This window comes from Homo sapiens, chromosome 3 (assembly GCF_000001405.40).
Source record: "Homo sapiens chromosome 3, GRCh38.p14 Primary Assembly".
Lineage (NCBI taxonomy): Eukaryota > Metazoa > Chordata > Mammalia > Primates > Hominidae > Homo > Homo sapiens.
The window spans coordinates 72,550,048-72,561,819 of NC_000003.12; the positions used below are offsets into that span (position 1 = coordinate 72,550,048).

The window sequence follows — 11,772 nt, forward strand, 5'->3', positions numbered from 1 at the left end:
TCCAGGGGCAGGTACTGTGGGGAGGAGCAGGCCACGGTCTCACCTCTCTCTGTGCCTCTGCTTCGATTTTCTCTCTCCTCTTCCTTCCTGCTTTCACTTTTGCTTTCTTCCCTTGCCCTCCCTCCTCCTCCTCTTGTCCTTTCCCTCTCTCTTAGGATGAAATAGATTCCTAGGGCTGCCATAGCAAGTCACCACAAACTGGGTGGCTTCAAACAACAGAAGTTTGTTTTCTCACAGTTCTGGAGGCCTGAAGTCCAAAATGAAGGTATTGGCTGGGTTGGTTCCTTCTGGAGGCTCTGAGAAAGCAGCCTCCATCCCCTGCCTCCCCCAGCTTCCGGTGGCTTCAGCAATCCTTGGCATTTCTTGGCTTGTGGCCACATTACTCCAATCTCTGCCTCCATCTTTACATGGCCCCGCCGCTGTGTCTCTGGGTGTCATGTCTCCGTCCTTTCCCATATGAAGACACCAGTCATTGGATTTAGGGCCCACCCTAAATCCAGGATTATCTCATCTCTAGATCTTTAACTCAATTACATCTGCCAAGACCTTTTTCTCCAATAAGGTATTTTTTCTTTTTCTTTTTAAATTTGTTATTTTCTTTTTTTTCTTCCTGGTTCTTAGTAAGTGTGCACCAAATAAGGTCTTATTCCGAGGTTCTGGGTGAACATACCTTGGCGGGGAGCACTATAACCAACTAAACTCTTTCACTTTCTCTGCACACACTTACTCTTCATTCCCCCACTCCGGACCCATTTCTCTCCCCCTGCTTTTCCCTTCCCTCCTTCCTTTGTCTCACCCTCTCCCCTTTTCTCTCTTGCTCTTCCTCTCTTTCTCCTCTCCTCTTCCTCAGCTTACTCATTTCATAAACTTCTGTTTTGTGCTGCCCCATTACTTAGCTTGCACTGATCATAACCCCATGTAAGTTTGTAGCTCTGGTGCCCAGCAACAGCTAGTCTAGAATTTTTACTCTTATTTAAAATTCTGGTGAAAACAGATTTGATTGGCTCAGCCTGGTCAAGTGTCCAACCAGCTGTGGGTGGAGGGGTGTCAGAAAGTGAATATTGAGTTACAAGCAACCAACTGTGTCTGCTGCATCTTCTTAGGGGCATTCCTCAGTAGTGTTTTCTTCCGTTTAATTTTCATTACAGAAATGTTCAAATGTACAGGAGAGAATAGCACAATGAACCCCATGTACCATTGCCCAGCTTCAACAACCATATTTTGCCATTCTTATTTCATCTCTCTCTCTCTCTCTCTCTCTCTCTCTCTGCCCCAGCCCCCTTTTTCATCCCTCCTTGGATCATTAAAAGCAATTGGCTGGCAGATCACTTGAGGTCAGGAGTTAGAGACCATCCTGGCCAACACGGTGAAACCCTGTCTCCACTAATAATGCATTTAAAAAATTAGCTGGAGGCTGGGCACGGTGGCTCAAGCCTGTAATCCCAGCACTTTGGGAGGCTGAGGTGGGCGGATCACCTGAGGTCAGGAATTTGAGAGCAGCCTGGCCAACATGGCAAAACCCCGTCTCCACTAAAAACATAAAAAATTAGCTGGGCATGGTGGCGGGTGTCTGTAATCCCAGCTACTTGGGAGGTTGAGGCAGGAGAATTGCTTGAACCTGGGAGGCAAGAGGTTGCAGTGAGCGGAGATTGCACCACTGCACTCCAGCCTGGGGGACAGGGCAAGACTCCATCTCAAAAAGCAAAACAAAATAAAAGCAATTGTGTAATATACTTTATTTTTTAGAGTAGGAATAGCTTCAGGTACACAGCAAACTTGAGCATAAAGTACAGAGAGTTCCCACATACCCCCTGCTCCCCATGCACAGCCCCCCCAACTATCAGCATGTACCAGAGTGGCACATTTGTTACAGCTGATGAACCTACATTGACGCAGTGCCATCACTCACAGCCCATTTGGGGATGGCTATTGACAGGTGATCATTTCTTTTCTTTTCCTTTTTTTTTTTTTTTTTTTTTTGTGAGACAGGATCTCACTCTGTCACCCAGGCTGGAGTGCAGTGGCACGATCATGACTTAGTGCAACCTCAAACCCCCGGGTTCAAGCTATTCGCTCACCTCAGCCTCCCGAGTAGCTGGGACTACAAGTATGTGCCATTGCACCAGGCTAATTTTTCTTTATTTTGTACAGACAGAAGTCTCGCTATGTTGCCCAAGCTGGTCTTGAACTCCTGACCTCAAGCTGTCCTCCCACCTCAGCCTCCCAAAGTGCTGAAATTATAGGTGTGAGCCACTGCACCCGGCTCATTTCACTTTTGAATACTACAATGTATATCGGTGACAGATACAACCTGATATTATGACATCAGAAACCTCTCAATGGGATGCAACGGCAAGTACAGGCACCATTTATAAGAGTCTTGCCACAAATGATGAACCTGAATCTCATCAAGCCTCTGGAGCTCATCATTAGTTTACAGGAAATACCACAGACTCACAGTAATACAAATGCCTTCCAATTCCGTAGAGCTGCTTGACTTTTTAAAGCACATTTACATGGATTATGGCCTCCTTTTATAGCCATAGTCACCCTAGATTTGGGTTGACAAGATAAACATTCTTATTCCCATTTCAGAGACTGAATAATTAAGGTAACAAGGAAGTGAAATGAGAACTTAATTGAGGGCCACCAGACTTGGTTTCAAGTCCTGGCTCTACCACTAATCACCTTTGTGACCTTGGGCAAGGCTGGGACCCCACAAAGCTACGGTTAATGCATCCAGATTTGCCCAGGACAACCCTGGTTTACACCTGCTGAACCTGTGTGGTTATCATCTGAGACTTCTTTTTCTCTAAAACGTGTTCCAGTCTGGGTGTGGTAGCTCAGGCCTGTAATCGCAGCACTTTGGGAGGCCAAGGTGAGCGGATCACTGGAGGCCAGGAGTTTGAGACCAGCCTGGCCAACATGGTGAAACCCCGTCTCTACTAAAAATACAAAAATTAGCCAGGAGTGGTGGCGGGCGCCTGTAATCCCAGCTACTGGGGAGGCTGAGGCAAGAGAATCACTTGAACCTGAGAGGCTGAGGTTGCAGTGAGCCGAGATCATACTATTACACTCCAGCCTGGGCGAACAGAGCAAGACTCCATCTAGAAAATAAAAATTAAAAAATAAATAAAATAAAATAAAATGTGCTCCAGCTTGGACAATAAATTATATAGTTCCCTTACCTAAAGCCGTAGATGACGAGGAGTATGGACCAAGCCAGTGGTTTTCTATCCTGGTTGCACAACAGAATCACTAGGGGAGAGTTTCTAAGCTTCCAATGCTTCAACCCCACCCTAAACCAATCAAATCAAGATTTGCAGGGGTGGGACCTGACATGGAATGTGATTGGAGCTTCCTATGTGATTCTAATGTGCAGCCAGGGTTACAGCCACGCCATTGGGTGCTCCTGTCACTGAACAGCAGCCAGTTACTAACAGTGACAAGCATCACCTGGCAGCTTGTGTAAATGAGGAAGCTCAGGTCCCACAGCATTCCAACTGTCTTCGTCTGTTTGTGCTGCTGTAACAAAATACCACGAATTGGATAATATACTAGCAATAGAAACTTACTTCTAACTGGGCGCAGTGGCTCACACCTTTAATCCCAGCACTTTGGGAGGCTGAAGCAGGCAGATCACTTGAGGCCAGGAGTTCAAGACCAGCATGGCCGACATGGGGAAAACCTGTTTCTACTAAAAATACAAAAATTAGCCTGACGCACTGGTTTCCCAGCTACTCGAGAGGCTGAGGCACGAGAATGGGTTGAACCTGGGGAATGGAGGTTGCAGTGAGCCGAGATCACATCCACTGTGCTCCAGCCTGGGTGACAGAGCAAGACTCCATCTCAAAATGAAAAAAAAAAAAAATAAAAAGAAAAGAAACTTACTTCTCACAATTCTAGAGGTCAGGATGTCCAAGGTGGAGGTGCCATCGGTCTTTGTATCTGGTGATGCCTTGAACACTGTGTTCTCCAGATAGGAGGAATGCTATGTCCTCACATGGCGCAAGGGATGGAAGGACAAAAGAGCATCCCTTTCAACCTTGAGCCCTTTTATAAGGGTGCTAATCCCATTCATGAGAGTGGCATCCTCATGACTTAATCACCTCCCAAAGGCTACACCTCTTAATACTCTTGCATTATGGATTAATTTTGTTTATTTACTTATTTATTTATGTTTTGAGACAGAGTCTCGCTCTGTCACTCAGGATGGAGTGCAATGACATGATCTCGGCTCACTGCAACCTCTGCCTCCTAGGCTCAAGTGATTCTCCTGCCTCAGCCTCCCAAGTAGCTGGGACTACAGGTGCCTGCCACTACGCTCAGCTAATTTTTGTATGTTTAGTAGAGACAGGGTTTTGCCATGTTGGCCAGGCTGGTCTCAAACTCCTGACCTCAAGTGATCCGCCTGCCTCAGCCTCCCAAAATGCTGAGATTACAGGCATGAACCACTGTGCCTGGCCAGATTAATTCTGAACAAGAATTTTGGAGGGGACACCATCATTCAAACCATAGCACCTACACACTGAATCAGAATTTGCATTTGAACAAGATCCCCTAAGGATCTTGCACTTTGAAGTTTGAGAAGCACCTCTCTAAAAGCCCTAAAAGCTGACTACTTCTAAATGACCTGGCCAATATCCCTTGGCTGGTAAGCGTCAGACCTTAGCCTGAGCAACTGGCTCTCGGTTTCTTATTTTGTTTACTTTTTATCTTTGAAGATGGGGTCTCATTCTGTCACCCAGGCTGGAATGCAGTGGCAAGATCATAGCTCACTGCAGCCTCAAACTCCTGGACACAAGCAATCCTCCCACCTCAGCCCATTTTACAGATGAGAAAAGTTGAGGCTCAGAGAGATTAAGTCATTTGCCGGAGGTCATGGAGGAGCCAGTTATGAGCAGCAGGCCACACCGAACTCAGAGCCAGTCACTGGGCTAGTTGAAAGGATCCCAATGCAAGCAAAATGCAGACACTCTGAGACCAGGGAAGAGAAATTAAATTCAGTTTCATTTTGCTTTTTAGGGCAGAAGAAAGGGCTAGAAGAAGTAAAGCAGAGATGAGAAGGATGTAAGAGGAATTTGATCATCTAAAAATTGGGGCACACTTTATAATTCTGTCTTTAAAAAACGATTCGGGGCTGGTTGCGGTGGCTCACACTTGTAATCCCAGCACTTTGGGAGGCTGAGGTGGGAGGATCACCTGAGCCCAAGAGTTTGAGACCAGAGTGGGCAACATAGCAAGACCCCTATCTCTACAAAACAAATTTAAAAGTTAGCCAGGTACGGTGGCACGCACCTGTAGTCCCATCTACTCGGGAGGCTGAGGTGGGAGGATAGCTTGAGCCCAGTAGTTTGAGGCTGCAGTGAGCTATGATCTCACCACTGCACTCCAGCATGGACAACAGAGTGAGACCTTGTCTCAGAAAAAAAAAAAACAACAAAACAAACAAACAAAAAACAGATTTGGGGTGTGTGCCCCAAGTTGCTGGAGAAAAAGAGGACCAGGTTGACCCTAACCCTCTGGAGGCTTCAAAATGTCTCCCTGTGTGTTGGATGGTGTCACTTGAGGTCAGTTTCCAGGAAAGATAGCAAGGTGTACTATAAGAAACCACCTTGATATGTGGGGGCTTAAGACAAGCCTTTGTTATTGCTCTCAAGTCTATTTCTCAAATTAGGCATGTCCACTGATCTGGGTCCAGCGGAGCTGACCTCCACTGGGCTCACTCAGACATCTAACATCAGTGACAGGTTGTCTGGGGCTGTCTAGTCTTCGATGGCCTCACTTACACATCTGGAGGCCAGCAGGCTGTTGGCTGGGGTGATGGTGGAGTTTCAGCCTTGTGTCTCTCACCATCCAGCAGGCTAGCTCAGGCTTGTTCACATGGCAGCAGTGCAGTTCCAAGGGAGGGAGCAGAAACATGCAAGGACAGATGCAGTCGGCCACACACTCAATCAGCTGCGTATTATCCATGGGGGTGCCAGCAATGATTCAAGAGGTGGGAAAATAGGTGCCACCTCTTGATAAGGTCATGCTGCAAGGAGTGGGACATTGTGGCCATTTTTGAAAAAAAATTTACAGATTGGTTTATGGAAGCAGAAATATAAAACAATAGGGACAAACAATAGATAAATAATGAGGGTAGAGGAGAGGAGGTGGGGGGAGGAAGATTTTTTTTTAGTGCCAAAACACTAGTTTATTTATTGATTGATTCTTTTAACAAATACTTAGTGAGCATCTACTGTGGACCAGGTGCTATGCTGGCCCTGAAGGTATAACAGGAGGTAGACCTAGAACCTGCCCTCCTGGGTCTTACAGTTTAGAGCAGGAGACAGAAAAGGAAACCTACCCTACAATTCACCATGGCAAGTGCTATGTTAGGGGAAGTGCGGACAACTTTGGGGACTCACAGTAGGAATACCTAACCGGTCTCAGATGACAGAAGGAACCAGGGAAGGCTTTAGTCATAAACTCTGAAGCAAAATCCATGGTATGAACCATGCCAAAGAGGAGCTGGAGAAGAGAGAAAAGCAACTGAGAAAATGGAATCCCAGAGACAAGGGAGAGTACAGCTTGTATGGCTGGAGTAAAAAGCTGGAAGATGAGAGTTGAGAGAAGCAGATAGAGACTTATGCAAGAGAAGCAAAGGAGGCCGGGCACGGTGGTTCATGCCTGTAATCCCAGCACTTTGAGAGGCCAAGGTGGGTAGATCACTTGAGCTCAGGAGTTCGAGACCAGCCTGGCCAACATGGTGAAACCCCGTCTCTACTAAAAATATGAAAATTAGTCAGGCGTGGTAGCGCATGACTGTAATTCCAGCTACTTGGGAGGCTGAGGCACGAGAATTGCTTGAACCCAGGAGGAGAAAGTTGCAGTGAGCCAAGATCGCACCACTGCACTCCAGCCTGGGCAACAGAGAGAGATTCTGTCTCAAAAACAAGAAAGAAAGAGAGAGAAGTGAAGGAGTTAACACTTCACAAGGAAAGATTTTTTTTTTTTTGAGACGGAGTCTCGCTCTGTCACCCAGGCTGGAGCGCAGTGGCATGCGACCTCAGCTCACTGCAAGCTCCGCCTCCCGGGTTCATGCCATTCTCCTGCTTCAGCCTCCCAAGTAGCTGGGACTACAGGCGCCCATCGCCACGCCCAGCTAATTTTTTGTATTTTTAGTAGAGACGGGGTTTCACCACGTTAGCCAGGATGGTCTTGATCTCCTGACCTCATGATCCACCCGCCTCAGCCTCCCAAAGTGCTGGGATTACAGGCGTGAGGAAAGATTTTTAACTTGCCAGATTAGATTGGCATGTTACAAAGACCACTTGCTCATCTTGGTATGGAAGGTGGACATTTTGGGGAGAAGATTTTTGTAGGAATGGGGAAGATGAGATTTAGGAAATACTGAGCAATCCAAGCATAAAATGATGGCTGAACTAAAAGGAGACTATAGGAATACAGAGTGGTGAACACACTGGAGAGATCCTTAGAAGGAAAATGCTCCAGGATTGTGTAGGAGAGGGCAGACTTTCCCTCTACCCTATGAGGCACTTGATAATTGCATCTATGAAATCAGCTGATAGTAGGCAGATGAACAGGTGATATAGTTTGGATGTGTCCCAGTCCAAATCTCATGTCGAATTGTAATCTCCAATGTTGGAGGTGGGGCCTTGTTGGAAGTAAATGCTCGGTGCTGCCAAGTGAAAATAGCACTCAGGCAAAAGTTCTCTCAGCAAGGCAATTTACTTCTATAGAAGGGTGCGTCTCACAGATGGAGCAATGGCGAGAGCACACCGGACGATGGAGGGGAAGGGGTTCTTATTCCTGACACAGGTAGCCCCTACTGTTGTGTCTTTCCCCTATTGGCTAGGGTTGGACAGCACAGTCTAAGCTAATTCTGATTGGCTATTTTAAAGAGAGCAAGGGTATGAGCCAGAGTGGTGGGGTGAGTAGTTTTGGCGGGAGGGACAGTTACAGAGCAGGTGACTAAGGATTACTAAGGACAGAACAGGCGACTAAGGATGCCTAAGGACAGAACAGGTGATAGAGGCTAGGAGGGGGTTGTTTACTGAAACTACGGGCAAGGAAGGTAAAGAATGAGGAAGTTAGCTTTAAAATGGAGAACAAAGAACAGGGAAGCTGAACGTACTGACATATTGGTTCTTTGAAGAAGAACTCAGAACTTATTGTACTTAACAATTTTTCTCCCTCTTGAATTTTAAAGGAAGTTAACAGGCTAAACTTGGAAGAGGAATTTACTATATCCTACAGCCTGGTAGGAGGTGATTGGATCATAAGGGCAGATTTCTCATGAATGGTTTAGTACCATCCCCCTGGTACTGTCCTCAAGATAGAGATGGTGAGTGAATTCACAAGCAATCTGGTTGTTTAAAAGTGTGTAGCACCTCCTGCCTCTCTCTCTTGCTCCTGTTTTCGCCATGTGACCTGCTGACTCCCTTTTGCCTTCTGCCATGATTGTAAGTTTCCCGAGGCCACCCCAGAAGCCAAGCAGACATCAGCATAATGCTTCCTGTACAGTTGAAGAGCCATGAGCCAATTAAACCTCTTTTCTTTATAAATTACCCAGTCTCAGGGTTTTTTTGTTGTTTTGTTTTGTTTTTGTGGCAGGGTCTCACTCTGTTGCCCAGGCTAGAATTCAGTGGCGCAATCTCTGCTCACTGCAACCTCTGCCTCCTGGGTTCAATCAATTCTCATATCTCAGTCTCTTAAGTAGTTGGGATGACAAACATGCACCACCATGCCCGGCTAATTTTTGTGTTTTTAGTACAGATGGGATTTCACCATGTTGGCCAGGCTGCTTCAGGTATTTCTTTATAGCAATGGGAGAATGGACTAATACTAAAGAAGAAAAGGTGAACACATTGATTACATGCACAGAGGCATTACATGAAAGAAAAGTGAATACCCCCAAATCCAGTAAGATCTAGAAGTTTAGATCCTGTCTTCATGTATGACAGGGGAGGGGGTTTTGGCAACTTAAGGGAAAATGGATGATTTGGGGGAAAGATAAATGGGCCCTCAGAAGAATACACAACAACCTGTGACAAAGTCTGTCTTGGCATGGCATCGACCTCCTGTCCCCTCTCCTGTGATAGGAGCCAATCTTCCCTGGTTGATGAGAGTCCAGGGAGGGGATTCATGACCACTGAGTTTCTTTTGGGGAGTCCACTTTAGGCAGATAAAGGGAACCCAGAGAAAGCTCTGCCTGTATTGCTATTCCCTGAATGCCCTCAGGCCAAAGCAATCAGAATACCAAACCAGCATGTTTTGGGGTGACATTTCCTGAATGCCTTCATCTGGTAATAACTGCAAGACAGCAGAAAATTCTAGAATGTTGTCTGGAATTTCTAGCTTCAGTGAGATGGATAGATGGTGGTACTATTCAGCAAGATAGAAAACCTTGGTTAAGGATAGTTGCCTTCATTGAGCACAAAATTTGATTCTAAGCTTCCCAGCAGCAAAGGCAAAAGGAAAACAAGATAAATGACCTCATCTCAAGGTTCCCTAACACGAACCACACCAGTGCACTATAGAAACCAAACTTCCTCATAAGGTACACAAGGGGAATTGACTGAGGGGATCTCTGTAGAAAGGAGTGTGAACCAAATAAAAGAAAAGGCCTTTGGCAGTAGTTCTATAAAAGATGCAGAAATGTTCTTTGCAGGCCTGTTCGGTATATCAGCATCGACCCCTGATAAAAGCTGAGAGCAAGATATTAAATCACAGCTCTGTAGAGTAATTTGTTCAAAAAAAGTCAGTGGAATGGCCTCTGGGTACCTAACTTGCTAAAGAGTTTTGAGCTCCCAGCATCTAGAGAATTGAGAGATTGGACAAATGAAAGGCACTTGCACTAATTAATACATTTTATAAACTTGAAATTAGGAGTTCAAGACCTACATGTGTAACTTAGTGCCCCAGGATAATTTTAAAGGGAAAAATATGAAAGTCCCAATTCCAGCAAATACCATTAACAACATAATCAAATAACTTAGGGCTTCATTTTTAAAATGTTGAAGCAATTAGAATCCATTGTGGCCTGGGCGCGGTGGCTCACGCCTGTAATCCTGGCACTTTGGGAGGCCAAGGCAGACAGATCACTTGAGGTCAGGAGTTCAAAACCAACCTGGCCAACATGGTGAAATCCCATCTCTACTAAAAATACAAAAATTAGCCAGGCATGGTGGCATGCGTCTGTAATCCCAGCCAGCTACTTGAGAGGCTTAGGCAGGAGAATCGCTTGAACCCGGGGGGCGGAGGTTGCAGTGAGCTCAGATAGAGCCACTGCACTTCAGTCTGAGCAATAGAGCAAGACTCCGTCTCAAAAAAAAAAAAAAAAAAAAAAGAATCCATTGTGGGTTTTTTTTTTAATTAAATTTTTTCCTGATTACTAAGGTAATTCAGGTTTATTATAGAAATTAGGAAATTTCGGAGAAGTAGAAAGAAAAAAGTCATCTCTAATCCCAGCAAAGATATCTAACTGCTGTTAATATTGTGAGATATATATAAATATATATATATACACACACATACATATATGTCTTTCCAATCATTTTTCTAGGCCTACATATAAGTAAATATTTTTCTCTTAAAAGAATTAGGATAAGGCTGGATCAACTGTTTTACATCCTGCTTTTTTTCACTACATTTGCTAATGACAAATAGAAGCCTTTGTTTTAAAGGAATTTAATGTTCCAATGACTTCTCTCAATTTCTCAAAATCTGTGTTTTTGTCACTCGTGTGGACTTTGGTGTAGTAACTCTGCTTGTCCTACTAGCTTTCTGAAAAACAGAAGAGAGGCTGGTGAACTTGACTTTTTCTTGCCAAGGACTTAATTGTGTCATTTATAATAGAGATCTTGGGGCCTGGCATTTTAGCACACTGAGAAAGAAATATGCTAATGTGTTGTCCTTCACAGAGAGCACAAGAATAATTAGCCACCCCAGGGCCACTCCTAAACAGGTTGTTGAAGCCTTGTTGCCTCCCTTCCTGGGGAACTTTCCAGAGGGAAATTCTTCCCTAGTAACTATTCTACTGGCATGCAACTTCAATGCTTCCTTTCTCTTCCCTGCAATGTCATTGTGGTAGATTGTAAAAAGGGACACAATACTACTTCTCTCATCAGAGATTAAGTTTATTTTCTAAGCCCTTGAATCAGGGCTGACCTTGTGATTTTTGTTGATCCGTAGAAGTGGCGGATGTGACAACGTGTCAGTTCGAAGCCTAGGACTTAAGAGGTCTCACTATTCTTGTTGCTCCTTTCCACCAACATGCAAACAAGCCTGGGCTAGCCTGTTGGGTGAAAAAAAAAAAACACTTGGAGAGAGGCCCCATTCATTCCAGCCAAGACCATTATAAACCAGCAGCCCCAGTGACCATGGGGGAGCCCAGTGGAAACTAGCTAAACCCAGACCAGACCAGAAGAACTGAAACTGATGACTTACTAAACTGAGAGCTAAATAAATGGTAGTTGTTTTGCGTTAGTAAGCTTTAGGGTAGTTGATTACACAGGAAAGGCTGGCTGATAGAATCACCTGGGGCGGGGGCAGAGGTTGCTTTATTCTGTTTACGATAAAGTATTAATGTAAAAGCATTAATTGCGTAGCACCAGGTATGTAATAAGCATTCAACAAATGGCATTAGTATCAAATGAGATGAGGGTATTGGCAGGGCTGGTACCTTCTGGAGGCTTCTGGAGAGAATCCATTTCCCTGCCTTTCACAGCTTCCAAAGGCTGCCTGCATTCCTTGGCTTATGGACAC

At 45.1% G+C, this 11,772-nt stretch overlaps 1 long non-coding RNA gene across 1 annotated transcript, besides 2 other annotated features; it reads right to left on the reverse strand.

Moving 5' to 3' along the window:
• Positions 1–140: an enhancer, noted in NCBI's record as "active region_20089". NCBI's record gives its function as "activates an Ori minimal core promoter by ATAC-STARR-seq in GM12878 lymphoblastoid cells {active_cell/tissue: GM12878}" and the evidence as "EXISTENCE:reporter gene assay evidence [ECO:0000049][PMID:35858748]".
• Positions 5,224–5,414: a silencer, noted in NCBI's record as "fragment chr3:72604422-72604612 (GRCh37/hg19 assembly coordinates)". NCBI's record gives its function as "represses an EF-1alpha promoter that drives an FKBP-Casp9 reporter gene in an ReSE screen in HepG2 liver carcinoma cells {active_cell/tissue: HepG2}" and the evidence as "EXISTENCE:reporter gene assay evidence [ECO:0000049][PMID:32094911]".
• Positions 11,127–11,772, reverse strand: LOC124909394 (uncharacterized). The gene is made up of 2 exons (XR_007095960.1): positions 11,690–11,772; positions 11,127–11,302 (listed from the first exon to the last, which is right to left on the reverse strand). It is a non-coding gene; the product is annotated as an uncharacterized LOC124909394 (long non-coding RNA).